Source organism: Homo sapiens, chromosome 9 (assembly GCF_000001405.40).
Source record: "Homo sapiens chromosome 9, GRCh38.p14 Primary Assembly".
In the NCBI taxonomy this organism is placed as follows: domain Eukaryota; kingdom Metazoa; phylum Chordata; class Mammalia; order Primates; family Hominidae; genus Homo; species Homo sapiens.
In genome coordinates, this window is record NC_000009.12 from 104866446 (window position 1) to 104893505 (window position 27060).

At 44.7% G+C, this 27060-nt stretch overlaps 1 protein-coding gene across 1 annotated transcript in view, besides 5 other annotated features; it reads right to left on the reverse strand.

The window, feature by feature from the left end:
- ABCA1 (ATP binding cassette subfamily A member 1) overlaps nucleotides 1-27060 on the reverse strand; it is a 147150-nt gene that overhangs the window by 85440 nt on the left and 34650 nt on the right. The window contains exons 3-5 of the mRNA NM_005502.4: nucleotides 22657-22750; nucleotides 17982-18123; nucleotides 16594-16712 (exon numbers count right to left, since the gene is read on the reverse strand). Of these exons, the coding sequence (NP_005493.2) occupies nucleotides 16594-16712; nucleotides 17982-18123; nucleotides 22657-22750 (355 nt within the window). The remainder of the gene's footprint in view (nucleotides 1-16593; nucleotides 16713-17981; nucleotides 18124-22656; nucleotides 22751-27060) is intronic.
- Nucleotides 2738-2827: an enhancer, noted in NCBI's record as "active region_28731". NCBI's record gives its function as "activates an Ori minimal core promoter by ATAC-STARR-seq in GM12878 lymphoblastoid cells {active_cell/tissue: GM12878}" and the evidence as "EXISTENCE:reporter gene assay evidence [ECO:0000049][PMID:35858748]".
- Nucleotides 19300-20026: an enhancer, noted in NCBI's record as "OCT4-NANOG-H3K27ac hESC enhancer chr9:107648026-107648752 (GRCh37/hg19 assembly coordinates)". NCBI's record gives its function as "activates a minimal SCP1, AML or CMV promoter by ChIP-STARR-seq in primed H9 embryonic stem cells {active_cell/tissue: H9 hESC(primed)}" and the evidence as "EXISTENCE:reporter gene assay evidence [ECO:0000049][PMID:30033119]".
- Nucleotides 20027-20752: an enhancer, noted in NCBI's record as "OCT4-NANOG-H3K27ac-H3K4me1 hESC enhancer chr9:107648753-107649478 (GRCh37/hg19 assembly coordinates)". NCBI's record gives its function as "activates a minimal SCP1, AML or CMV promoter by ChIP-STARR-seq in primed H9 embryonic stem cells {active_cell/tissue: H9 hESC(primed)}" and the evidence as "EXISTENCE:reporter gene assay evidence [ECO:0000049][PMID:30033119]".
- Nucleotides 20753-21479: an enhancer, noted in NCBI's record as "H3K27ac-H3K4me1 hESC enhancer chr9:107649479-107650205 (GRCh37/hg19 assembly coordinates)". NCBI's record gives its function as "activates a minimal SCP1, AML or CMV promoter by ChIP-STARR-seq in primed H9 embryonic stem cells {active_cell/tissue: H9 hESC(primed)}" and the evidence as "EXISTENCE:reporter gene assay evidence [ECO:0000049][PMID:30033119]".
- Nucleotides 21480-22205: an enhancer, noted in NCBI's record as "H3K27ac hESC enhancer chr9:107650206-107650931 (GRCh37/hg19 assembly coordinates)". NCBI's record gives its function as "activates a minimal SCP1, AML or CMV promoter by ChIP-STARR-seq in primed H9 embryonic stem cells {active_cell/tissue: H9 hESC(primed)}" and the evidence as "EXISTENCE:reporter gene assay evidence [ECO:0000049][PMID:30033119]".

Here is a 27060-nt window from a genome sequence, read left to right on the forward strand (position 1 = left end):
ATCCTCAAGCTGGGTTAGGTGGCCAGCCCTTTTTTGTGACTTTTTTTTTTTTTAATACAGAGTTTCACCCTTTCACCCAGGCTGGAGTGAAGTGGCCCGCTCTTGGCTCATTGCAACCTCCAAAGCCCCAGGTTCAAGCAATTCTCCTGCCTCAGCCTCCCGAGTTGTTGGGATTACAGGCACCCGCCATCACGCCCAGCTATTATTCCTTTTTGTATTTTTAGTAGAGTTGGGGTTTCATCATGTTGGCCAGGCTGGTCTTGAACTCCTGACCTCAGGTGATCCACTCGCCTTGGCCTCCCAAAGTGCTAGGATTAGAGGCATGAGCCACCGCGCCCGGCGTTTTGTGACTCTTTTGTGCCCAACATCCTATGTTTTCCACTAGTACCACACAGATCAAGCTGCAGTCACCCATGTAAATATCCTGCTCCCAGAAGAATAGAAATTCCTTGAGGGCCAGGGTTTTTAATTCCAAAGCCAGCAGTGCCTGGCACAGAGGAGGCACTCAGTAAATTGGATGAATGAATGAATAGATGGATGGATGAACTAATGAATGAATGAATACAAATGAGTGAATAAATTAATGACCTGATGTGATTTGGGGAATTGCCGATTGCAGAGAAGAAAATTCACCTTGCAGTGAGTTAGGGAAAAGATGAAGCAGGACATGAACTTGAAACAAACCAAGTAAAGAGGACACAAGAGTTCTGCTAAACCCACTCAGCCACGTCAGCCCAGATCAAGAGGAGAGTCAGGTGAGTGGCAGCTAGAAGCAGAGTGGGGAACAGGAGAGAGGAAGGCTGAGTTGATTAAATGATAAAATGGAGATGACAATGGCATCCACCTCATTGGACTGAGCTAGGTGTTAAATGAGCAAATGTACCTGCAGACCTAGTATAATGCCGGGCACTGAGTAAGGTGCCCGGTAAAGGATGGCTAATATCATCATCATTTTCAGGAATGACTGATCTGAACAGATTCATGGCTAATTTAACCTTAAAGCATATTCAGAATAGACAAGACACAGAAGTGGCTTTGGCGGCTAAGTTGAGATGTTGAATTTGTGATCTAAGGTATGCACATGTGTGTATGTGTGTGCATATGTATGTGTGTATTATAATACATATTAGCCTGGCTGAGTTCCTAAGACAGAATTATTGAGTTCTTTCTGCTGATACTATCTATAAGGTAAAGGAAAGGTTGAAGCTGACTGATTTGTCTACTCATAACTTTATGAAAGAATAAATAAATCTAGTATTTTACAGGGAATCACCAGGAATGATCATATCCACCAGTCACTGCAAGGATGGATATAGGTGGAAGATGACCTGGACGAAAGACCAATCATTCCACACAAGACAGGGAATACTTCCTGAACAGGAGAGTCATTTAGCCACTTAACTTTGGCCAATGAGTTAATGCGGACCTGGATTTTATAATCAGTAAAATGTGTGGGTTGGAGAAGATGATCTCTGAGGTCTTCTTACCTGACACTGAAAGGAACACAGGGCAAAACAAAATCAGCACTGGATACAGCATCACAGGGTCTGAATTCAAGAGTCAGCTCTGCCATTTCCTGACTGTGTAATCATGAAGCTATACTTTCCCCCCTATTTAAATCTCCCTAAGCCTCAGTTTCCTTGGATATAAAATGGGGCTAATACAGCACTTTGGGAGGCCAAGACGGGTGGATCAACTGAGGTCGGAAGTTCGAGACCAGCCTGACCAACATGAAGAAACCCCGTCTCTACTAAAAATACAAAATTAGCCGGGTGTGGTGGCGCATGCCTGTAATCCCAGCTACTCAGGAAGCTGAGGCAGGAGAATTGCTTGGAGGCAGAGGTTGCAGTGAGCCGAGATCACGCCATTGCAATCCAGCCTGGGCAACAAGAGCGACACTCTGTCTCAAAAAACAAACAAACAAAAAAAACGGGGCTAATAACATTCACAGGTTGTTGTGCAAACCAAAGATCAAGAACGTGAACGTGCTGTTTCAGGGGAAAAAGCTGACTTGCTCCAAGTGTTCGCTCGGGTAACTGGAAGGTATGACCTCTGTCACAGGATGCGGAGCTGGGCTACTGCTGCCAGCAGAAGAGAAAGTCACTATCCAGCAGAAGGTCAAGAGGGCTCTCCCACCACAGTCTCTTCAATACAGACCAAAATACTTGACCTGCTGAGCTCAGCCTCCTTGGTTTTGCCTGGAGGAGCAAACAGTGACCTACCAATTAGCCAAGAGCTTCTGTAAAGTGGGGCAAAGGAAAGGAAAAAGAACAAAAAACAGGTGACATGTGTGTTTGTGGGCTGGAAGAAACGAAGCAGAACCCTCAGCTTCTTGCCACACATCCAGGCCTCTGGGACCAAGCCGGGGAACCAGCTGGGACCTCTGGGACCCAGGTCCAGGCCTCTGGGACCAAGCTGAGGAACACATTTGCACGTGCAGGCGGAGGGGTATGACGCGGGGTGGGGGCGAGGTCCTGCTTTCCAGGCCATTCAGTGTTCCTTCAGTTCTCTGAGCATAGAGGACAAGGAAGGTGGGAGGAGGGAGGAGAGGGAAGAGAGGGGTGAAGGAGCTTGGGGGAGGCTGGGAAAGAAGGAGGAAAGGAGAGGAGGGAGAGCAGCTCAGGAAGGCGGAGGAGGAAAGCCCTTTGCTGAGCTGAGCTGAGCCAGACGGGGTTACTCTCGGTCAGTGCCCTCCAGTCCCCAGCTCAGGTTTCAAGATCTGTCTTCTCTTTTGCTCAACATGAAAAGGAACCAGAGCAATCAGCTGCTTTAGAAGTGGGTGGAGGAGGCAAATGAAAAAAAAGGAGAAGTAGGGAAAATCACATCAGCATCCCAGGCCCAGATGGTCTTCTTCAATGGACCCCTGGGGTGGGGGTGGGGTGGGGCCTCCCAGCCTGCTAGGAGCTGTCAACTGAGCAGGGCCTGGGAGCGGGAGACAAATTCTAACTCGTGGTTTTAATCAGCCTGAGCTTGTCCAGCCTTACAAATAAGACCTTGAAATACTTCTCTGTTATACAAGGGCTGGTAACAAATACACTCCAGTGTCTTTATGGTATTTTTTTGGTGTTTTGTTTTCCTGATGCTCTGCTGTCTTCTTGAAGAATAGACGATGCCTGCTTCACCAATAGCTGAGCACTCTCTGGGAAGACCTGGTTGTTGGGTGCTGAGGAGAAGGGGTGAGGCGGGGTGATGCAGCTGCTCCTTCAGGTGACTCCTTAGAGCAGGGGAGAGTAGGCCAGGGGTGTGTGGTACACACAGCCTAAGGACACCCATGCTGTTCATCCCGGCCTGGGCTTTCCAACCCAGGAGACACTTCCTTCTCTACAGAGAAGGCTCACCGAGGGATACCAAGACATACCTGAAAAAACTCAGTTCCAGAATTTTCCAGTTATGTGGCCTTGGGAAAGTCAGTTAGGCTCTCTGAGCCTCCATTTTTCTGTAAATGGAGGTCTAGCTTCCTATACGTGTGGGTTAAGTTATCACTAATGACACTAAGTGTGTTAAGTACTCTGAATGCTGACTCACACATACTCCTTGAGAAAATACAAGCTGAAAATTAAACATGTTCAAAATAAATGTGGATAAAGTCATAGATGACAAGCTGTGAAGAATTCCCAAGAGAAACCAGGATATTTAGGCTTATGCTCCCTGAACCTTCCAAGGCATTAGGAAGCCAGAGTCTTCTCTTTCAACCAATGGGAATACCATAACTTTAGGAACCACACATTCCTTCTAGTATTTTACAAATAATATAAACTTGTATTAGTTCAACAAACTTCTGAATGGCTACAGTACCCAAAATACTAGTGTTGTGGTTCAAAGGGATAATATTTTTCTCAGTGCTCCTTGAAGGCAGGAGCTAGCCTATAACAAAAGAGGCGCTGTGTAACAAAATCCCTGCCCTTGCATTCTAAGAGGAGATGGCCAGAGGGTCGGGTGAGCAGAGCGGTGAGCCTCCAACCCTCTCTGCCACTCCAGAATCAGTCAGCACTGGAATCAGGGGTGGAACGAGACATTACTCATCTTCCCCCAGATTACTTTGCTAGTAAGGCAATAGCACACCTGCTATGATTTGAACGTGTCCCCCCTCAAAGTTCATACATTGAAACTTCATCACCAATGTGACAGTATTAAGAGGCAGGGCCTTTAAGGGGTGATTAAGTTATGTGAGCAGTGCCCTCACCAATAGCATTAGGGCCCCTCACAGATACCATGAGTTTCATGTGCGTCTGTGTGAAGAGACCACCAAACAGGCTTTGTGTGAGCAATAAAGCTGTTTTTTTCACCTGGCTGCAGGTGGGCTGAGTCCGAAAAGAGAGTCAGCAAAGGGAGATAGGGGTGGGGCCGTTTTATAGGATTTGGGAAGGTAATGGAAAATTACAGTCAAAGGGGGTTGTTCTCTGGTGGGCAGGGGCAGGGGGTCACAAGGTGCTCAGTGGGGGAGCTTCTGAGCCAGGAGAAGGAAATTCACAGGGTTAATCACTCAGTTAAGGTGGGGCAGGAACAAATCACAATGGTGGAACGTCATCAGTTAAGGCGAGGCAGGGCCTTTTCACTTCTTTTGTGATTCTTCAGTTACTTCAGGCCATCTGGGCGTATATGTGCAAGTCACAGGGGATGCGATGGCTTGGCTTGGGCTTAGAGGCCTGACAATGAGGACCCCTATAAAAGGGCTTGAGGGAGAGGCTTCAGTCCCTTCTGCCAGTTGAGGAAATGGCGTTTGTCCCCTCCTAAGGATGCAGCAACAAGGCACCATCTTAGAAGCAGAGAGCAGCCCTCACCAGACACCAAACCTGCCAACACCTTGATTTTGGATTTCCCAGCCTCCAGAACTGTGAGAAGTAAATTTCTATTGTGTATAAATTACTCAGTCTCGAGAATTTTCTTCTAGCAGCAGAAACAGAATAAGACAATACCCATGTCTTACTGAGAAGAGGGAAGGTGGGAGAAGTTACTGGAAGTCCCTAGAATGAGGGTTGAAGACCCTGAATGGTAACAATTCCCCCAAAGAGCCAGTGCAGCCCCAGAGGGAAAGGATGTCCTGGTCACACTGGCCAGGGCGTGGAAGGGCACAGTCAGCCTGGCTTTGAAGCTCAGAAGGAAATGGAAGATAACACTAAGACATAACATTGACCCAAATGAATTTTGGACCTGAACAGAATGAGAAGAAGAAACAAAGAACCAACATCAGAAAAAGCAAGAAGATAGCTGAGATGAAAACTCTACCTGAAGACCAGAGAGGCAGAAAAATGAGAGAGGACAGCTGGAAGACAAAAGGAGTGAAAAGAAGGTAAGAGATAGGAAGTATGAAGAAACAGAGTCCAGAAACAGGAAAGACTACATCAAACAGAAGGGGAAGAGAGAAAAAGAAAAGAGAGTTTGAGGCATTCAGTTCCCAAGGATGAGCTGGTCTCTCACTGAAAAAAGGGACCAGACACTTCAAACACCACACAACATGGGACTAGAATCAGCCTGCAGGGCCCTGAGAAGTCCAGGCACAAAAAGAACGGAAAAAGATGAGTTTACAAGTTGGGGATGAGATTCTTCCTAAGGCTGGTCTAGGGAAGAATTAACATACACAATGTATAAATAGTTTAATTTTTTTCTAACTTTTAAAATTAACAAAATTTATTAAGGGACATAGTAGTGCTTTGTGGGCACAGAAAAGTGACTCATATTTACCAAGCATTAGGCACACTATTAGCATTATTTTCCAGAATCTTTAAGAACAGCCTATAAAGAAACGTATTATTATTCCCATTTTTCAAATGAGGAAACAGATCTGGAGAATATCTTGCTCAGGGTCATAGAACAAACAAGTGGTAAATTTGAACCCAAACAGCTTTGACTGCAAAGCTTTGGTTCTTTCCACTATATCAGCAATTTAATGAGATGTTTTAAAAATGCTTCATCGTGATATTGGCCTCAAAAGCTGGGGATGGCACCTATGCTTCCTAATGTTGGAATAAGCAACATGGCAGCATAGTGTGGGGAGAAAATGCTAAGCCTAGGAGTCAGACCCCGATTCAACGTACAACTTTACTCTTTAATCTTGGACAACAGACATTACCCTTTCGAGCCTCGGTTTCCTCATCAATGAAATGGAGATAATAATACCAATTTGCCCCTGCTAGTGCTGTTTGAAGCCTTCAATGTAATAATATATGAAAAATGTAAAATGGTATCATTATCCGGTGCAACTTAGTCTGTTGAATAGTGTCGCACTGAGATTGCCTTTTGGTGCCTCAATGCAACAGTGACAAGAGGACCAGAAATGGGAAAGCTTTCAATGAGAAACAAACTGGACTCCCAAATTGCTCTTTGCCACCCACAGAATAAATAAACCTTATGCTGGAAAAGCAGGAGACACGCAACACTGTTCTTGATGTTAACAATTCAAAACTTTTTAAAGGCAGTCTGATATTTGTGGGGATACACACTATTCTGTAATCGAATGCAATTGTGTTTTCTATTCTTGTCTGAGTAAAGCTGATCTTTGATTTGATTTAGTTCAAGTAATATTTCAACATTGCAGTGCAGCGTTGCTCCCCACCCCCACCTGCTTACAGCCCAGCTGGGCCCAGGCCCTTGCCCTGGATGGAAATCAAAGACCTGGTTTCTGAGATGCAGCCTGGCTTTGACAGGTCTGGGAAAACTCATGGTAGTGGAAAGGTTTCCAAATATAAAATTCTAAGGCCTCAAATCAAAACTTTTGACAAGTGCATACATACAGAACGTGAATTGCAATCACCTAAAGATTTCAAAGAATTTCCATTTTGATGACATAATGTTGACACATGTATCACCAGATCTCCCAACAAGATGACACACTGGGGTTCCACAAGGACAGAAAATATAGTCTGAGGCTGTAACCTCAACTTTAGCAGCTGCCTGAATGGGTGAGGGGGTTCAGACAGAAAATGAGAAGTGGCTGTGAGTCACAGGATGTTCTTTCTAGATGGGCCTTGGGAAACATTCCATCGGTGCCTGAAGCCAGGAAGTGGAGTGAATCTGGCATTTCTTTCAGAAGCCCTCTTGTCTCCTTTCTCATCCCAGCCAGCCCATGCCCCATGTCCTGTGACTTTAGGGAAGCTTCTGGCTACTCAGAGCTGCTCTCTTTAGGATATAACAACAACAGAGCACGAGAAACTGGAATTCTGGTCCTATTACTGCCCCTTGCCAGCTGTGCTTTCTTAGGCAAGTTACTTGGCCTCTCTGAACTTCGGCTCCTTCATGTGTGTATCCCCTGCATTTTATGATGATTGTAAAAATGCAGTGAGCTTAAGAACAAGCCTGGTACCTATGCTGGGCCAGGCACTGTACTAAGTGCTTCCCCTTATTCGTCCATTAATTTGCCACAATAGTCCTGAGGGAGGTACTATTGTTATTCCATTTGAGGAAACTGAGGCACAGAGATGTATGGAATTATCCAAGGTTACACAGCTGATAAGCATCAAGCCAAGATTTGAACCTAGGCCATCTGGCTGCCAAGTCTGTTCTCTTAACACGAAGGTATATTTCCCAGGGAATATTTACAAGATGTTAATTTTCTACCCACTTCCCTCAACTCCCTGCCACAGCCAACTATCTTGCCATGTCACCAAAGCCACCCTGCTCCCTGGAGCTCACGTCTTTTTGATTTTCAAAAATCAAACCAGAATCAAAGGTCCACCCCACTGAGTCCTTAGTACTATCAGTAAATCTGACAGCCAGAGAGGCATGACCCTTTTCCCTAAGTAAAATCCAGTATAACCCTGGGGACTAATTTCCAAAAAGATTAGTCAGAGCCATATCAGAAAGGCCAAACAGGCTGGGCATGGTGGCTCACACCTGTAATCCCAGCACTTTGGGAGGCCAACGCACCTGAAGTCAAGAGTTCAACATGGCAAACATGGTCAGGAGTTCAAAGATGGTCAGGAGTTCAAATGGCCAACATGGCAAAACCCCGTCTCTACTAAAAAATACAAAAATTAGCCAGGCCTGGTGGTAAGTGCCTGTAATCCCAGCTATTCGGGAGGCTGAGGCAGGAAGAATTGTTTGAACCCGGGAGGCAGAGGTTGCAGTGAACCAAGATCGTGCCGCTCCACTCACTCCAGCCTGGGCAACAGAGTAAGACTCCGTCTCAAAACAAAAACAAAAACAAACAAACAAACAAAAAAACAGAGCCGGGCGCAGTGGCTCATGCCTGTAATCTCAACACTTTGGGAGGCTGAGGCAGGTGGATCAACAGGTCAGGAGTTCGAGACCAGCCTGACCAACATGGTAAAACCCCATCTCTACTGAAAATACAAAAATTAGCAGGGCAGCCAGCCGCCCCGTCCGGGAGGGAGGTGGGGGGCAGCCCCCGCCCGGCCAGCCGCCCCGTCCGGGAGGGAGGTGGGGGCCAGCCCCCGCCCGGCCAGCCACCCCGTCCGGGAGGGAGGTGGGGGGCAGCCCCCGCCCGGCCAGCCGCCCCGTCCGGGAGGTGGGGGGCGCCTCTGCCCGGCCGCCCCTTCTGGGAAGTGAGGAGCCCCTCTACCCGGCCGCCGCCCCATCTGGGAGGTGTACCCAGCAGCTCATTGAGAATGGGCCATGATGACAATGGCAGTTTTGTCGAATAGAAAAGGGGGAAATGTGGGGAAAAGATAGAGAAATCAGATTGTTGCTGTGTCTGTGTAGAAAGAAGTAGACATAGGAGATTCCATTTTGTTCTGTACTAAGAAAAATTCTTCTGCCTTGAAAAAAAATAAATAAATAAAAATTAAAAAATTAGCAGGGTGTTGTGGCATGCGCCTGTAATCCCAGCTTCTCAGGAGGCTGAGGCAGGAGAATCGCTTGAATCCAGGAGGCGGTGGTCGCAGTGAGCCGAGATCACACCACTACACTCCATGCACTCCATCCTGGGCAACAGAGTGAGACTCCATCTCAAAAAAAAAAAAAAAAAAGAAAGGCCTAACAAGCCAGATTCATGCCATGAACATAAGGGAAGTGGCAGCTGAGCCACTGACTCCACACAAAAGTGCAGCTGAAGGGAGAGAGAAACTCCATACTCAGTCGGGATGGCAGGCTGCTGCCCCGGATCTCTCTGCCAGTCCTGTCCCTTTCCGCCCCTTGACCTCAACAAGGTGATATGTCCTCCAAAGGGTTCATCTCCAGCACAGTGACAAAATGCCCAAAGATATTTCTTATCTTTTCCTGGCAAAATCCTTATAAGCTTCAGAGAGCTCCACAACCTTAAAAAAAAAAGGTATTTCAGAATCCCCCAAGTCAGGAGCCAAAGTAGGCCAGTTGCAGCCCTAGTCCTCACTGGAGAAGGCAAGATAAGGAACTCCAGGCCATGGCAGAGAACCATGTAGGCTGTGCACTATTCAACTCAAATCATCACAGTTCTCATGGAGAGTGCCATTCACAGGGACCGCGGTGTGTATGTACCCCCAGAAACGTGTGACTTGTCAGCCCTAGGAACAGCGTGAAAGCCATCCCTACCCGTTCTAGGCATATTCAGCAGGTCTAGAAAATGATCTTTGCGGTCCCACAAAACACTTACTGGGCTTCTAGAGTTAAAAGGTACTGGTGTGGCCATAACTTTGGACAGGGCAAGACACCTGCAGAGCTAAGATCTTGCTTGACTCAGAAGTTGCTGAGTTCCATGTACAGTAGAGAGAGGCTACCTGGCTTCCAGCCACACCATAGAATCCACAGCCCTGCCCACACCACTTGGGTCATGCCAGCTAAAAAAAGATGGAGAACTTCCCCAGATGCCCCACAAGTCTAGGAATTGTTTCCAGACCAGCATAAGCAATGGCAAGGCTGAGGGACTGGCTATGGGGGATGTAGCAGTGGACAAGAGCCTCGCTAAGTGTGGAAACGGGGAACAGAGGGAAGCTGGGGAACTTCTCAGAGGGGATGTGAGGACGCCCTATCCCGGGAAGGCAAGAGGCTTCAGCTCCAGCATATGCACTTCCCAACTATGAGCCAAGTAGGACGTCCCAACCACTGCAAGGAGGTACCTGCTCAAGAGGGGACTGTGTCCACAGTGCAACCTGGAGTTGAATGAGAGTCTGTAGTCCAGATTTCAGAATATGGGAGAGGAGCAGGCCTTGGGACCAAGTGGATGCCTGAGCGGAAATGTTCAGTAGGAAGCAGGCTAATGAACCCATTAGGTATCACTAAGCAATACATTTTAAGTAGCTGAAAAGGAAATACACAGTAAAAATAAGACAGCAAAGGGTCACCTCCTTCTCCCACCCAGTCATGATTCTCAGCAGCAACAACCCCATCAGAAAGGCCTTAGCTTGGGCCAGTCTGCTTCTCAGCCCACCTAAGAATGCCAGATTCACCAGAGAGGGGGCACAGCGATGGCAGGTGGCTTGGAGTGGGGAGTGAGGATGACTCCAGGGCAAGGAAGGAAGCTTTGGAAGGGGAGCAGTGCTTCTTGCCCCACCATGCCCTGGCAGGAGCAGATGCAGGTGGGGGCCTGAGGCTGACACAAGTTGGTAGGGGGCTCTCTTTTTAAAACAAGATAGTATTTTTAAAAAATCTTACTTTTGCAAACCTTACAAAAACATACCACTGTGTAAACATATTGCTAAGACCCCCAGAGAGGACCTTGAAAGGAGCTATGAAAAATAAAGTAAATATTTTTAGCTTCCCAGTAAATCTACTTTAGGCCTCTGGGTTCATGGCTGCCCTTCCAGAAAGCTCTGGGGGGCAATTTTGTGAAAGAAAGAAGGCCAAGACTTTTTGAAGAACTTCTGTCATCATTATTATTCGTAGGCTCTGTTGACCTGGGCTAACACAAGGGAATAAACTATATAATACAATTTTTTAAAGCACTTTTACTTGACCCTCACAATACCCTGTGAAGTACAGGTATTTTATTTTCTCCCACCTTCATTCCACAAAGATTCACTAATGGCTCACCATGCACCCACTACTGTGCTGGGGCTTAGGATGGAACCATGAGCAAGGCGCCCACCTTGCCCTCAAGGGGCTATAGTCTAGCAGACAGCCCACATCCTTGGGTAGTCCCAGGTGATCCCCCATCCAAGTACTGACCAAGTTTCTGGGCTGAAGCATTTTCTGGTTGTTTCACCAAAGAAAGTTCCAATTTCAAGGCAAAGAAACTTAAGGCCCAGAGAGGCCGAACAAGTGGCAAAGGCCAAACAGTCAGCCAGGAACAGAAGGGGAAGCAAAGCAACTCGAATTTATTATGTGTCAACTGTGGGCTATGAGCTTCACTATCAGTCATCCACAGACATCATCTAATTTAATGCTCAGTGACCCTCAGGGCAGCTAATCTTCAGGTAAACTCTGGGCCAGAAAGAATCAACACATGCCCAAAGTTCACACTTCATGAGGGATGCAGCATGGATTTCTTCCCAAAATGAATCTTAATACAAAACCCCACACTCACTCTTATACCAATGTTTTCCAATCTTCAATCATTTACAAACTACTCTCACAAGTTTTACCATATTCACAGAAAATGTTTCTTTTGAATTAACTTTAATTATATTTTTCCTGTTGAACATCCTCCTAAGCAATAATTTCCATGAAATTGCAATTGGATGTGGGTTAAAATTAAAAGTTCTCATCCACGTACTGCCTAAAATCATCCCAGATACCACACAAAACTCACCCAGAGAAACACTTATCTCTGCCAGTCTGTATCTCACAGAGACAAAATACAGACATGTCACTTTCCCTAGGGTTTCTGAGGATTTATCCAATTTTTACATCTGAGTTGCAGTCACCATAGGTATTTAAGATGAATGAATGCTTCTCACACTGCCTTGCAAACATTAATTAATTTAGCCACCACACCACTCAACTTGTGTGCCTGTACTCTGGTTTAGGAAGAAAATAATAAAATGTCTAAAAAGTTCCAGTGATGAGAAAAGTGGGTGAGGCACCCTGTAAGACTTCCTCCTTGGATTTCTTATTAGGATGATTTCAAGGATAATTAAAAGATTTGTCCACGGCTTAATTCCTGAAATGGGAGTTCTTCCCAGTTGAAAGATTATTAAAACAGCACAATAGAGCACTGTAGAAGGAGAACTGCCTGGAGCAGCAGGGGGGTTTAGCCGTGATTTATTCCCAGAATATCCCTTCTGTGGTTGTGTAGACTTGGGACAGTCACTTCCCCCTTCTGGGTCAGATTCTTCTCTAGAATAGAAATTCCATATGGAGAGGGGCCATATTTGTTTTGGACACCTCTGTGTCTCGGCACTTAGAACAGTGATTCGCATATAGGAGACGCTCAATATATAAGGGTTGAATGACAGAATCAACTAATTTATCTATAAATGAACTAACTGGTCTCTAAGGTCTCTTCCAATAAGTGGAAATAAAATGATGCTCTAGCCAAGGAAATCATGAGAGTATTTGAGTAGAGATCCCCATATCTACAAATCACCTGTGTATAGTCCAGCGAATTTAGCAGATGCAAGCTGAAGGGAAGAACAAGATAAACTTCCCAACTGGATCACAGAAGCAGGAGCCCAGTGGCCCAGCACTGATTACAATATAGGCCTGAGTGGTAGTGTCTACAGAATCAAGAATCACTTGAACCCAGGAGGCAGAGGCTGCAGTGAGCCAAGATTGCGCCACTGCACTCCAGCCTGGTGACAGAGCGAGGCTCTGTCTTAAAAAAAAAAAAGAAAGAAAAGAAAAGAAAAAGGAAATTAGTGGTGTTTTAAGGCAGTCTCCTCCACTAAGATCAGAAAGTCTGCTTGACAACTTACCCCCATCAGCCAGTCTATTTCAACTGCTGCATAAATTGCAAGGCAGAAGAACAAGGCCAGGTGCTCAGAAATGCATCACTGTCTTAGAAGAATACTGGCTCTCATTTATTGGGAATCTACTATGTGCCAGATACTACATTAGGTTTTATAGTTTACATTTCAAGTTAGCTGCTATTTTATAGTTGAGGAAAAAAGGGTCTACAGGGGTGGTTAGTCTCCACTGGACTGATCCAAGCTTCAAGTCTTTGTCCCACAGTTATCGATGACTGGAATGAGGCCAAAGAGAGTTGTTTATCACATCTCTAGATGACGAGAAAGGAGTATCAGATATAATACATGGCAAAATCAGAATCTAAAATGGTTTTGGGAGGATAGGATAGCATAGGGAATCTAAACATGTAAAACAGAAAAAAGACATTTTTCCCTTTAGTTCAAAAAGCCAACAATACAACAAAGAAATGGAGAACACGTAACTTGCAATTCTGCCTATTTAAAATAATCACAATTTTGTTTGAGTGCACATGGAATATGAGTCAACAAGGTGACGTGAATGCCAAAATGCCTAATACAATCTCAGACTGCATTAACGGAAATGTAGCACTCAGAACAAGGGAGGCAAAAATCCCTTCCTCCTCTGTGCCAGAATACTTTCATAATTTCCAGTAAACTTCAAGAAGCACACAGACATACTGAAACACAACCAGAGGAGAGGCAGAAATGGGGAGGAAAAACATTCCATAAGAGGAAAGGAGGCCATTTTGCCTAAAAAATCATGGACTTTGGGAAAACAGGGAAAGAAAAACATGAGAGCTGTCTTCGACTATTTCAAGGAAAACAGAATTAGACTTGTTCTCTAGAAAGCATAACAGGGTGGTGAATATTTTCTAACAATTAGAGCTGTCAACACCCAGAATGGGCTACTTAGTGAGTGGTAGATCCCCGCCCTGGGAAGGTGGGTGTGTGGTAAAGGAGGTGAATGAGGACAAAGCTCCAAACCAGATCAGCTTCAAGGATCCTCCCAGCCCTGGGAGAGACAGCACAGGAGGGCCAAGCTCATCATGCTGTGATGGGGTGTCAGTGCAGATAAACACAGGTCTCTAAGTGGGGATCCATACTGACATATGCCAGTCTCAGCTTCTCTCCGAAATTGACAAGAGTGCTATTCGCAATCAGCAAAAAGTTGGCCAGGTGCAGTGGCTCATGCCTGTCATCCCAGCCCTTCGGGAGGCTAAGGCAGGAGGATCACTTGAGCCCAGGAATTCGAGGCTGCAGTGAGCTCAGTGAGCTCTAAGGGCACCACTGCACTCTAGCCTGGGTAACAGAAAGAGACCCTGTCTCTAAAAAAAAAAAAAACTAAAAATAAATTTAAACAAATAAAATAAGTAAATAAAAACAAAATCAGTAAAAAGTTACTGATTTCCTGTAGGAAAAGGCAGTGTTTCTGTGCATTTCCCCCTATACTGAAGCCTGTTTTGTGCTGCAAGACAAGCAAAGAAAGAAAGAATTTAAGAAACAGCTGCAAGGCAGAAAAGGGGACATACTGCGTGAACAGAGAGATGTAAAACAAGCACTGACATAATAATACACTCAAAATCTAAGGGACCTTCTCTCCTCAGAGCTCTGCACACTACTGTAGGGTTTTTAGATACAGATTTGGCTTCTTCACCACTTAACTCATGTCTCCAGCTTCTCAAAGAAGGCCAGGCATGGTGGCTCATGCCTGTAATCCCAGCACTTTGGAAGGCCTAGGCGGGCAGATCACGAGGTTAGGAGATCGAGACCATCCTGGCCAACATGGTGAAATCTCATCTCTACTAAAAATACAAAAATTAGTTGGGCATGGTGGAGCATGCCTATAGTCCCAGCTACTCAGGAGGCTGAGGCAGGAGAATCGCTTGAACCCAGGAGGCAGAGGCTGCAGTGAGCCAAGACTGCGCCACTGCACTCCAGCCTGGTGACAGAGCGAGGCTCTGTCTTAAAAGAAAAGAAAAGAAAAGAAAAAGGAAATTAGTGTTGTTTTAAGGCAGTCTCCTCCACTAAGATCAGAAAGTCTGCTTGACAACTTACCCCCATCAGCCAGTCTATTTCAACTGCTGCATAAATTGCAAGGCAGAAGAACAAGGCCAGGTGCTCAGAAATGCATCACTGTCTTAGAAAGAATACTGGCTCTCATTTATTGGGAATCTACTATGTGCCAGATACTACATTAGGTTTTATAGTTTACATTTCAAGTTAGCTGCTATTTTATAGTTGAGGAAAGTAAGGCTGAGGGGTTAAATGGCTTGGTTGAGATGTCACCACTCCAAAAAAAATCATAATTCATATTCACTAAGTGCTTCCTATGTGCCAAATACTGTTTTTAAGCAATTACATGTTTTATCTCATTAACAGGTAAGAAGAAGTGGCTGAAAGGGTGCTAACTAACCTATTCACAAAGTCATGCAGCCACAGGGTAATGTATGCTAGCACTTTCCTCTGCACCACGCTGTCTCTTGCTACAGAGGTAAAGGAAATATCCCCAGCTGTGCCTCTGGTCAATCAGCAGGGGCTCTCCAGTAAATAAGGAAGGACTGAGGCTTTGATCAGGGGTTGTTGCTACCTTTCTGTCTCCTGCACCAGAAGAAACATCCATGTGCAAGACCAGGACCTGCAGGTCAAGGAAACAGCATCTCGATGGCCTGGCTGCACAGCCAGGAGTTGTCTAAGTGGACACTCCAAGCACAGCCATACCTCTCTCTGCTGTGAAGCAGCACCTCCTCCATGCCACCCCTAAGACAGCTTTGCTTCCCTTTGTCATCAGGTCCCACATTGCCCATTGCCTCTTTTACTGCCCAAGGAAAGCACAGTTCTGTAGCCTTAAAAAAAAAAAAAAAAAAAAAAAAAAAAACTCAAATCTGAGTCTGGTTTAAACTCTAGAACTTTATCATTTCTTCTTTTGCCAAATAGAAAACAAACTGGTAGGCCTTTCAGCAAAGGCCAGCCAACTCCATCCCTCCCTAAACACCAAACGGAATAAAAAGCACTTCCCTGGAGCAGTGGCAGCCATTGGTCCATGATGGGGAGGAGTAATTTATCACTGACATTGTTTAGAACCACCGGCGCATGATAATAATAAAATGCAGACCAGCTTTTATCGGCTTCATTATTGCTTCTACATTCTCTACAGACCATGCACATGCCATTACTGGCTGCACTCAGCCAGCTGCTCCCACCAGCCTCTGTCCCCTTGCCAGGCCACTGCCTGGAAGGCTGCTCTGATGCTATGGCAGCCAATGCCTCAGTCAGAAAATGCCCACTCCCCAGATACCTCCTGGGTGGCACACAAGAAATTGCCTGGATACTTACCAGATCAGAGGTAAAGATTTCACTTTTTAAAGACAACAAGTTCAAATGCCCATCAGACTAATTGAAATGATTAGGGGAAAATGAATTGCATTCTCTTTTTAGAAAGAAGTGCTTAACTTTCACTTATCCATATCAACTTACAACTGTAATTGCTCTTATATGCACAGAAATACTCTGTCTATAAATCCATTCACTGCAACCATATGGCCAACTTCAGAAAAAATGCAGTTGGCAGCAATCTGCACCCCTAGCTGTCCCTAAGGCCAAGTCTGTAGTATTCTTCCCTGGGGACTTTTCTTCTGTCTTCCCAGAGAAGATTAGTACATCACTGTCTGTGGCAACCAGCTCCCCTAGTTTCTTCACCAATGCCTCCTGGAGAGGGGCCCCACAGGCCAGCCACCAAGGAGAAAAACCCCTTGGGGAAGATCTAATGGGAACAAGCCCCAGACACCTGGGCTACTCTCTTTCCCTGGTGCAGGTCAATTTCCAATTATAAACGGATGCAGAGAAGGTTTTTACTTACTTGAGCTGGATTTCTTGATCTGCTGTAATGTTCTCAGAACTTTGCGCATGTCCTTCATGCTGGTGTCTTTCTGGCTGTATAAAAGAAGCCTCCGAGCATCTGAGAACAGGCGAGCCACACTGTAAAGGGTGCAAGAAAAGGCGAAAGGCTTTAGCTAGGCCAACTGCCTCTGCTGCTTTACAGAAGTGACTGCCAAGTGCATAGAACTCAGCCTGGCTCCCAGGTCCTCCACAGGCTGGCCCTAACCCACTCCCATGGCTCCCCACACCCAGCTCCATTCATCACCATGTTCCCTCCCCCACCCATCATCACTGCCCCAAATGCCTTTCTCCATTGGTCTACACACCCAAATCTTACCACCCTTCAAGGCCCGGCTCATCATGCATGTGCACACACATGCATGCACACACATGCCCCCAGGGCCAACTTATCCATGAACCACAGTAGGCTCAGTGGCCTGGGCCTGGGATACTCTTAAGGGCATATTAGAATGTTTTAATTTATTTTAAAAGCAGAATTAAAAGTTAATACACTAAAAATGTATGAATAATCATGAATCTGGTCTGGATTATATTCATCTTTATACCAATGCAGTCATGAAATATAATTTTTAATATTTGTGTATGGAAGGGGCCCATGGAGGCTACAAAGCCAGTCTAGGGTCCATGAACATGACAGTGTGGCCCTGCGTGCCGCAGCTGCAGCTTCCTCAGGATTGTCCTGAGCCACATCCCATCGTCCTTACTCCGTCCTAACTCACATCACGGTCCTGTGCATTTGAAGAATCCTCAATGTCTCATTTGGGGGACACTTATTATGCCCATACTTATGTCCAGGCACTGAAGCCAGGAGCCAGGAATACAAAGGGAAGGGGCAGCATCCTGCTTTGCTCAGGGAGCTCACACTCAGGGGAGAAAGACCTGCAGACATTGTAGTCTGATGGGGCAGTGACAGAGGTGAGAGAGGTGACCTGATGCAGAGAAGACAGAACTCCCCTAGCCTTGGCTGTCAGCTTCTTATGGGCAAGGACCCTTCCAGCATGCATCTTTGTGCCAGCCCCTACCCTCTAGCTCCTAGAGCCAGCCCATTCAGATGCACGTCTGCTGCATGATATCATTAACAACATATAGTATATTCCAAAATAGCTAGCAGACAGGACTTGAAATGTTCACAACATACAGAAATGATAAATACTCGAGGTGATGGATACCCCAAATACCCCAAATTCTCCAAAATTCTCCCTTCCCTCATTCTGCAGACTCTATCACACAAGCATTTACAAAAACAACTTCACTTAAATCCAGCCATTCAAAATTCTCCAGAGGACAAGAAAGGAAGGAAAAGGATTAACTGACAAGTTTGGAAAGAAAACCTGATCTGATACTTACATGGATTTGTTAAAGTTTCCAACAACTCCGGGAGCCTCCCCAGGAGTCGGGTAACGGAAACAGGGGTTGTTGGCATTACAGATAATCCCCTGAACCCAAGGAAGTGTTCCTGCAGAGGGCATGGCTTTATTTGGAAAATGGCCTGTTGAAATCGAGGAGTAGAAAAACACAGGGAGAAACATTAATTCCCTGAAGCGATTTTGAGGCTCCATTTATACAATGCTTCATGCCAAGTCTGTCCGTCCCATTCCCCACATCCCAGAGACCTGTCTCTTCTGAATAAAACTGACTCTCAGGTGGAAACTTGGCCTCACATGCCATTCTTAATCTAGTGGACATCATCTGTAGAATGGGGTTCATGATACCAGCGTTGGAGAAGTGATGAGAGGGGTCCTAAGCAGAAAGTCCCTGGCATCCTTAGTTCCTCTTTGACAGCCAGCCTCAGCTCTCAGACATAGAGGGGACTTGGGGATGCCCTAAGCCTATTTTTTCATACTCTAAGGAGGTAACTACGGTAAGATGAAGTGGGCTGGGCACAGTGGCTCGCGCCTGTAATCCCAGCACTTTGGGAGGCCAAGGTGGGCGGATCACCTGAGGTCAGGAGTTCAAGACCACCCTGGCCAACATGGCGAAACCCTGTCTCTACTAAGCATACAAAAATTCGATGGGCTTGGTGGCAGGCGCCTGTAATCCCAGGTACTCTGGAGGCTGAGGCAGGAGAATCGCTTGAACTCAGGAGGGGGAGGTTGCAGTGAGCCAAGATCGCGCCATTTCACTCCAGCCTGGGCGACAAGAGCGAAACTCCATTTCAAAAAAATAAAAATAAATAAAATAAGATAAAGTGACTGACAAAGAACACTCGCAAAGTCAGCTGGCGTGACTGGGAGTAGAACCCCCATCTCCATGGTCCCAATCCAAGCCTCTTCCTCACACCTGCGGTTAGATTGGAATTTAGCTCATCTCAAACCCCTCTGGTACTCTCCTCCATCTGCCAAACATTTGTCAGTTTCACCTCCTCTGCCAGCTACAAAGCTCCTCAAGGGCACCTGAAAAACACACAGGCTTGGGGTCTGATGTCATCTGTGAAGCTTCGGGGGTTTTGTTGTTATTATTGTTGTTTTGTCACTAATTAAAACAATGAGGCCCCATGCACTAGGTCATCCTCTTGCTCTCCTCTTTCTTTCTTACAATGAGCTTCTTACCAAAAGGATGATGGGACATATTTGGGCTTGGTCCTAGGATTCGGTCTGGCACAGTTTGGTTTGCGGCCGTAATACATGGATGCTGCTTATGAGGATCAAGATTAATAGGCCCTGGACGAGGGGCTCTTAACCCAAGGACCTGTTCAGGTATGGACAGAAAGGCCAGAGCTCCTGCTTCTATCATATTCTCAGGGCTATTTGTGACCCCAAAAGAGTTCACAGTTATCAAGAACCACAGCTCTAGGTGGTGAAGAACAAGTAGCTTCACAGGCTTTGGAGTCAAACCAATTGGAATTCACATCCAGTCCCTGCAGCTTGCTAAGCAGTGACTTTAGCCAAGTCATTGACCCCATACCCTCAGTTTTCTCATCTGTAAAATGGTGATAAAAGTACAATTAACTTCACAGAGCTGTGGTGAGCATCGCATGAGACCTTGCAGGCAAAGCGTTTTTGCAGAGTGCCTGGTGTAGGACAAAGACTCAACAAATGAGCCTATGAGGATTTTCCAGGCACTGTGGGAGTGAATCTACCCCAGCACTTACTCTGCTGTTGCCCAGCAGGAACACTCCTTCCATCTCACAGCTACCACCTCCCTCCAAAGTGGGAACCTTGTTTTATTCATCTTTTTATTTTCATGCAAATGGGCTGAGAAGTTAATCCAAAGTCAGGACTTGCTGCACTTTGCATTTCAATATAGGGTCTTTCTTTCTTTTCTATCCATACTCCAACCAGAGAGGCAACACCCAAAGCAAGGATGTGATAAGATCTGATCACTGTGGCCACCCTCTGCAGGGACTCTGGCCTATTGAACATTTACACAGTTAATCTCCCTATCTTCCTGTTAATAGTTCAAGGAAAACCAAACAAGGCCCCTTGCCTAAGTCAGCTGCTCTTCATTCAGGGAGATTTATGTAACCCAACCAAATACTCAAAGGACCAAAAGATTCTCCCCTTTCAATGCCAGGAGACACTGGCACTGTAGACAGACTGGCATAGGTGAAAAGCAGCACAGGGCAGTGATGGTGAAGGTATTTCAGGTTATCCCTTAGCAGGGGTGGCAAAGGCCCTTCCTTGTACGTTGTGCCCCATCCTATTTGCAAACAAAAGTAGGATCAGGACTAGGCAGTGGGTGTACAGGAAGACAAGTAAATAATATAATGGGCTCTCAGGACCCAGGGAAGTTTTTAAGACCTTGATAACTCTGGTTTGAACTGGGGAAGATTTACAGAGAATTTCAAACCAGTCCTTTGTTCCTAGGGACAAGACACCTCTCCAAGTTTCACCTTAACTTTTAACTCTGCTCTTCCAACTAGGTCCCTGGAGGGTGATGAGAAAAGAAGGTAAGGTTGCAAGAAGTGCATGGATATGGCCGGGCATGGTGGCTCATGCCTGTAATCCCAGCACTTTGGGAGGCTGAGGCGGGCGAATCACCTGAGGCCAGGAGTTCGAGACCAGTGTGGTCAACATGGCAAAACCCTGTCTCTACTAAAAATACAAAAATTAGCCGGACGTGGTGGCACATGCCTGTAGTCTCAGCTATTTGGGAGGCTGAGGCAGGAGGCTCACTGGAACCTGGGAGGCAGACATTGTAGTGAGCGGAGATTGCACTACTGCACTCCAGTCTGGGCAACAGAGCAAGACCATCTCAAAACAAACAAACAAAGAAGTGCATAGATGTAAGGAAAAGTCTCATTTACCATCAGTATATACAAGAATTTCAGAACTTTTCTGAAAATTTATGATCTGGAGTCAGAGGAATCTAGGTTAAAACTCAACAATCTGCCCAAGATCACAACCTCGGTGAAGGGCAGAGGCAGGATACAAACAAACCCCAACTTGTCTGATGCCGAAGACATTTGCTATTTCCACTACACCATCTTGCCTGCTTGTAATCATTCCAGAAAATCATTCGTCTAGTAGATGAAAAAACTGAGTTTGCCCTTGAAACTTATACTTCAGTGGTGCTTGGCATAATGCTTAAATAAAATCTAAAATGTATTTGCTCATCAATCAAAAAAATCTCTTTGGGGTTCCAAAAGAGAAAACAGAATTATCTCACAGGCATATAAATTGCATATAAATTTCAGTTTATGCTTTTTTTTTTTTTTTTTTTTTTGAGACAGAGTCTCACTCTGTTGCCCAGGCTGGAGTGCAATGGCGCAATCTCGGCTCACTGCAACCTCAGCCTCGCAGGTTGAAGCAATTCTCCTGCCTCAGCCTCCCCAGTAGCTGGGATTACAGGTGTGCGCCACCACGCCTGGCTAATTTTTGTATTTTTAGTAGAGACGAGGTTCCACCGTGTTGGCCAGGCTGGTTTCAAACTCCTGACCTCAAGTGATCCACCCACCTTGACTTCCCACTGTGCCTGGCCCGCTCTTTTCTTTTTTGATGAAATCAGGAAATCACGTCTCAGAAAATGTTTCTTGAGGGGTGTGTGTGTGTGTGTGTGTGTGTGTGTGTGTTTAATATGACTATGTGTGATGTGCATTAGAAAATCAGCAAGTAAATAACTGTTGCTATATATTGTGAGAAAGATGGGACCAGGCCAAGAAACACAATTAAAAGGTGGCCCTGGCCCCACTGCTTTCCTGGAAGAACAGTATCTCATAAGCTTGTGGGTCTCGTAGGGGTATGGACTGAGCTGCTTAGTGGTAGGAAAAATCACTAGGGCAGTGAAACTGAAGTCCCAGCTACATTTCCCAGCTACGTAAATGTTGATCCTTTAGATCTGGCCATTTCTGCAGTGTCAATCCACCCACTGAGCCCAGCCCTAAGAGAAAGACTGTGATTGTAAGATGATACACTGACAATAATAATATGAGGTAGGTATTACTATTCTCTGTTTAAAAGAAACTTAAATCACTTGTCCAAGGTCATATGCTTAGTGAATGCTGACACCAGAATTCATACCCAGATAACCTGACATCTGGAGCCTGTGTTGTTAGCCACTACTGTATTTTCTATGCTCACTGTAAAGGCTGTTATCAAAATACATGATTGACAGATGATCTGAGTTCTATTCAAGGTTGTTATGAGAATAAAATAAAATAATATTAGTAAAACTGAGAAGTTCTACACAAATGCTGCTTAAAATTCTGTGTTCCATGATTTGCAATGTGTGATTAAGACATCATGCATATGGAAAAGACTAGGTGTTAAGGCATTATCTTAAATGTGCTTTTAATCACCACTTTCTAAAATTATCAGTAAGGTTATTCTATTTTCATGATTTAAAATGTGTAAAAGAGATGTTGTCTACTGTTATAATTACAATTATCACCATTCACTAGGACTGAAAACAGTCTCCTGAGTTCATGCCTTATCAACAAATTAGAAGCCTAGGTTTTCTGATCCAAAGCATGTGTGATGTTTCCCAAAGACAGCATCTTTGGAAAAGTCCAATTTAGCCCACGTTAATTGCCTGGATTTTCCCTGCCATTGGTGAGTCTCAGGCAACATCCACAGTTACTTACATTCATGTTGTTCATAGGGTGGGTAGCTCAGCCGAACAGAGATCAGGATCAGGAAGATAAATAGAGGCCAGGCCACTTCCAGCAGCAGCTGACACTGAGTGGGAAATAAGATAGAACACTGTAAATTTAAAAATAATATGGATATCCAATGCCACTGGGATCTGGGAAATCCACAGACAACTTCATTTACTAATTAATCAACTTCTCCAGTCTCTCCCACCACTCTCTAAGCTTTAACAGAACTGTTTGGAGTCCCAACCTTTTAACATACCATTCCATATACCTCTGTGTCTTCCCTTAGGTAAGGGAAGATGCTTCCTATCGTGCTTTATCTGGTTCACTTCTATTCATTCTTCAGGATTCATCGTGGCATAATTTCCTTTACTAAAATCTCAGCCTGAGCTAGAAGCCCTCCTCCTGTGCTACTCCAGTAACCCAGGCACACTCCTCCTGTAGCATTTTCCTGGAGCTCCTGAAATCATCTGTTTCTGTTGCTGGCTTCCTCAGCACATTGAGCACTCTGAAAGCAGGCACCCATCTGTCTGCATTCCCAGCCTTAGCATAGTGCCAGGTATGTGGTGACTATGTTGAGAGGAGAGGACCAGGCCAACCTGCTGTGCTAAATACACACAACCCTTGCTCCTCTAATTGCACACAAAGCTGCTCCCTATGGGGCAGAGAAGAGGGCTCTCAAAGACAATGAAAATTCACACATAGTTCCATATTGACCTGTGTGCACTCAGGACTGTAAAGAGAGAGTGCAAAGTCCTTCCCCATCTGTCCAGGTCTGGTCATCATCTTCTCCGATGAGTTAAAAAGATCATTGAACTTCTAAACAAGCATGATACACTGGTTAAAACAATGAGGTTTCTCCAAAGGAAAACCCTGCCTCAGTGAGTTACCAGGCGATAAATTAGCAGACGGACAAGATGGAAATCACTAGACACAATATAATTGAGCCAGTAGTGTTCAGACAACTAGTTACACTGCCTGAAGTCTATCACCTCTCCCATTCCTTTCATTTCTATATTCCAACGTTGTAATCAAGATAAACACCAAAGAGCCCAAAAGAGTCACAGGGCCTTGTGTTTCAGAGTAATTATAACTTACAACTGTGGCTTCAGAGTCACACAGCCAAGATAATACTGGTATAAAATCCCTTTTTGTCTTCTTTTTTTAAAAAAAGCAAAAGATTGGGCTGGGCACAGTGGCTCATGCCTGTAATCCCAGCACTTTGGGAGGCCAAGGCCGGTGGATCAGCTGAGGTCAGGAATTCGAGACCAGCCTGGCCAACATGGTGAAACCCTGTCTCTACTGAAAATACAAAAAAGTAGCTGGGCATAGTGGTGGGTGCATGGAATCCCAGGTACTTGGGAGGCTGAGGCAAGAGAATCGCTTGAACCCAGGAGGCAGAGGTTGCGGTGAGCTGAGATTGTGCCACTGTACTCCAGCTGGGGCAACAGAGAGAGACTCCGTCTCAAAAACAAACAAAAAAAAAAAGCAAAGATTTTTTTTTTTGAGACAGGGTCTTGCTCCATCGTCCAGGCGGTACGATCCGGAGATCATAGCTCACTGGAACGTCAAACTCTTGGGTTCAAGTGATCCTCTCCCCTAGGGCTCCCAAACTGCTGGGATTACAGGCGTGAGCCACTGCACTGAGCCAAAGCAGAAATTTTTTCTTGATCTTCAAGTCCTTATATTTTTATGGAAAATTTGAAAATAAAAAAATACAGAAAAGTTTAAAAAGGTAAATATAAATCACCTTAATCCTACCTCCCAGAGACAATCCCTAGTAAACTGAAGTAACAATGGATCTCTGTTAACATCTTTTGTCTTTTTTCATGCATACATAAATAATATTTTTTCTCTACAATATTGAGACTATGCAGCATATATACTTTTGTATTCTGTTTTTTCATTTAACATCATACTGGGAGAGCATTTCCCATGACATAAAATATAATCTTAAAACATGTCCTGTAATGTCTACTTGATATTCCACTCTATGAATAGATCATAATTGAACCTTTCTGCTAGGTGCTCGTGCTTCAGATTGTTTTGGGTGTTTTTATTTATTTATTTATTTGTTGTTTTATTTCTGATATTTTTAAAAAACTGTTTTTTATTTCCAAAGACCTTTGATATGGTTCTACATTAAACTCTTTTAAAAAATCTTTTTGGCGATGGATGCAGTGGCTCATGCCTGTAATCACTTTGTGAGGCCAAGGCAGGCGGATCACCTGAGGTCAGGAGTTGGAGACCAGCCTGGCCAACATGGTGAAACCCCATCTCTACTAAAAATACAAAATTTTAGTGAAACGCTGTGTCTACTAAAAATACAAAAATTAGATGGGCATGGGGGTGTATGCCTGTAATCCCAGCTACTTGGGAGGCCAAGGCAAGAGAATCACTTGAACCCAGGAGGCTAAGGCAGGAGAATCACTCGAACCCAGAAGGCCTAGGTTGCAGTGAGCCGAGATCACTGCATGATCACGCCACTGCATGATCAGAGTGAGACTGGGCAGAAGGAAATACAGCAAGATAATGACAGTGGATGTACTAGGATGATAAGAACGTAGGTGTGGCTGGCGCAGTGGCTCCTGCCTATAATCCCAGAACTTTGCGAGGCCAAGGCAGGCGGATCACCTGAGGTCAGGAGTTTGAGACCAGCCTGGCCAACATGGTGAAACCCCATCTCTACTAAAAATACAAAATTAGCCGGGCGTGGTGGTGCATGCCTGTACTCCCAGCTACTTGGGAGGCTGAGGCAGGAGAATCACTTAAACCTGGGAAGCGGAGGTTGCTGTGAGCTGAGATCACGCCACTGCACTCCGGCCTGGGCGACAGAGCAAGACTCTGTCTCTTAAAAAAAAAAAAAAAAAAAAAAAAAAAAAAGTGATGTTTTTAATACTTTCCTGTCTTTTCTAAATTTTCCACAATGAGCATGTATAAATTATCTCATGGAACAAAAAAACACTGTTACCATAAAACTATCAAGAATAGTTTGCATAGACGGCACAACAGAATGAAAAATAAAGGCAAATGGATCCCTCTCTGGAAGAAAGCATGCTGACAGTGGAGTACTCAAGACCAAAGATGGGGCTGGTCTTGCTAATATTTCTGTAAATAATCCCAAAGAGGCAACATACTCAAATTTCCAAGCTTGGGAATGACATTCAGCCTTTTCTTTTTTTTTAATAGCAAACACCTTTTTATTCTGTAGCTTATTTTTTAAGTTGAGATATACATATATATCACATTGCATATCTTAAAGATATACAATTTTTATTTGTCAATTATACCTCAATAAAGCTGGGGGTGGGGGTGGGGAAGAAAGCAATTTTCTTTCTGCCAAAGAACAAAACCATGACTCTATGAAAATGAACTTTTCTCCCAGCTGAGCCAGGACTCCCTCATCTCAATTTCCCCAGGTACTTTGTGTCTGTATCAGCACTTGGTACACCAGGGACCCTATTTATATATAAGCTTCTCCCTTAGGGTCACTTTCTTCTTACTAAGCCTACCACATGATAATGGCTTTAAAAATGTTTGGTGAGTAAATGAGCTGGTTTAAAAGATAATGAACACGGAAATATAAATCAGTTGAGCCCTTTGGGAAAGCAATGTTAACAATACGTATTCAAGAGTCATGTTTATCCCATTTGCCCAATTACTATTCCTGGAAATTCATCCTAGGAAACTGAACTTAAGATATCAAAAAGCTATATGCATAAAGTTATTCATTCATTGAAACATTATAATTGCAAAATATTGGAAACAACTTAATTGCATAGCAATAGGGAAATGATTCAATTATGGTACATGTACTCAACAATATATCATGCCATCATCAGAATAATGTTTATGAAACACAGAAATCATTAGCCATGTAATATTAAGTGAAAAAAGCAGAATACAAAATTATATGCCATTCCAAGCTTGTAGCTGAATAAAATCACTTATAAATATTAACAAAGACAGGAATACAACTTTCCTTTTAAATGGCATGACTGTAAATAAATTTAGAAAATACTTATGAGGCCGGGCGTGGTGGCTCACACCTGTAATCCCAGCACTTTGGGAGGCTGAGGTGGGTTGATCATGAGGTCAGGAGTTCAAGACCAGCCTGGTCAAAAGGGTGAAACCCCATCTCTACTGAAAATACAAAAAAATAGCTGGGCATGGTGGCGGGAGCCTGTAATCCCAGCTACTCGGGAGGCTGAGGCAGGAGAACTGTTTGAACCCAGGAGACAGAGGTTGGGGTGAGCCAAGATCGCTCCATTGCACTCCAGCCTGGGCAACAGAGTGAGACTTCACCTCAAAAAAAAAAAAAAAAAAAAAAAAAAAAAAAGAAAAGAAAATACTAATGAAATTAGGGGAAAAAAATGAAGCTAAACAAAGAGT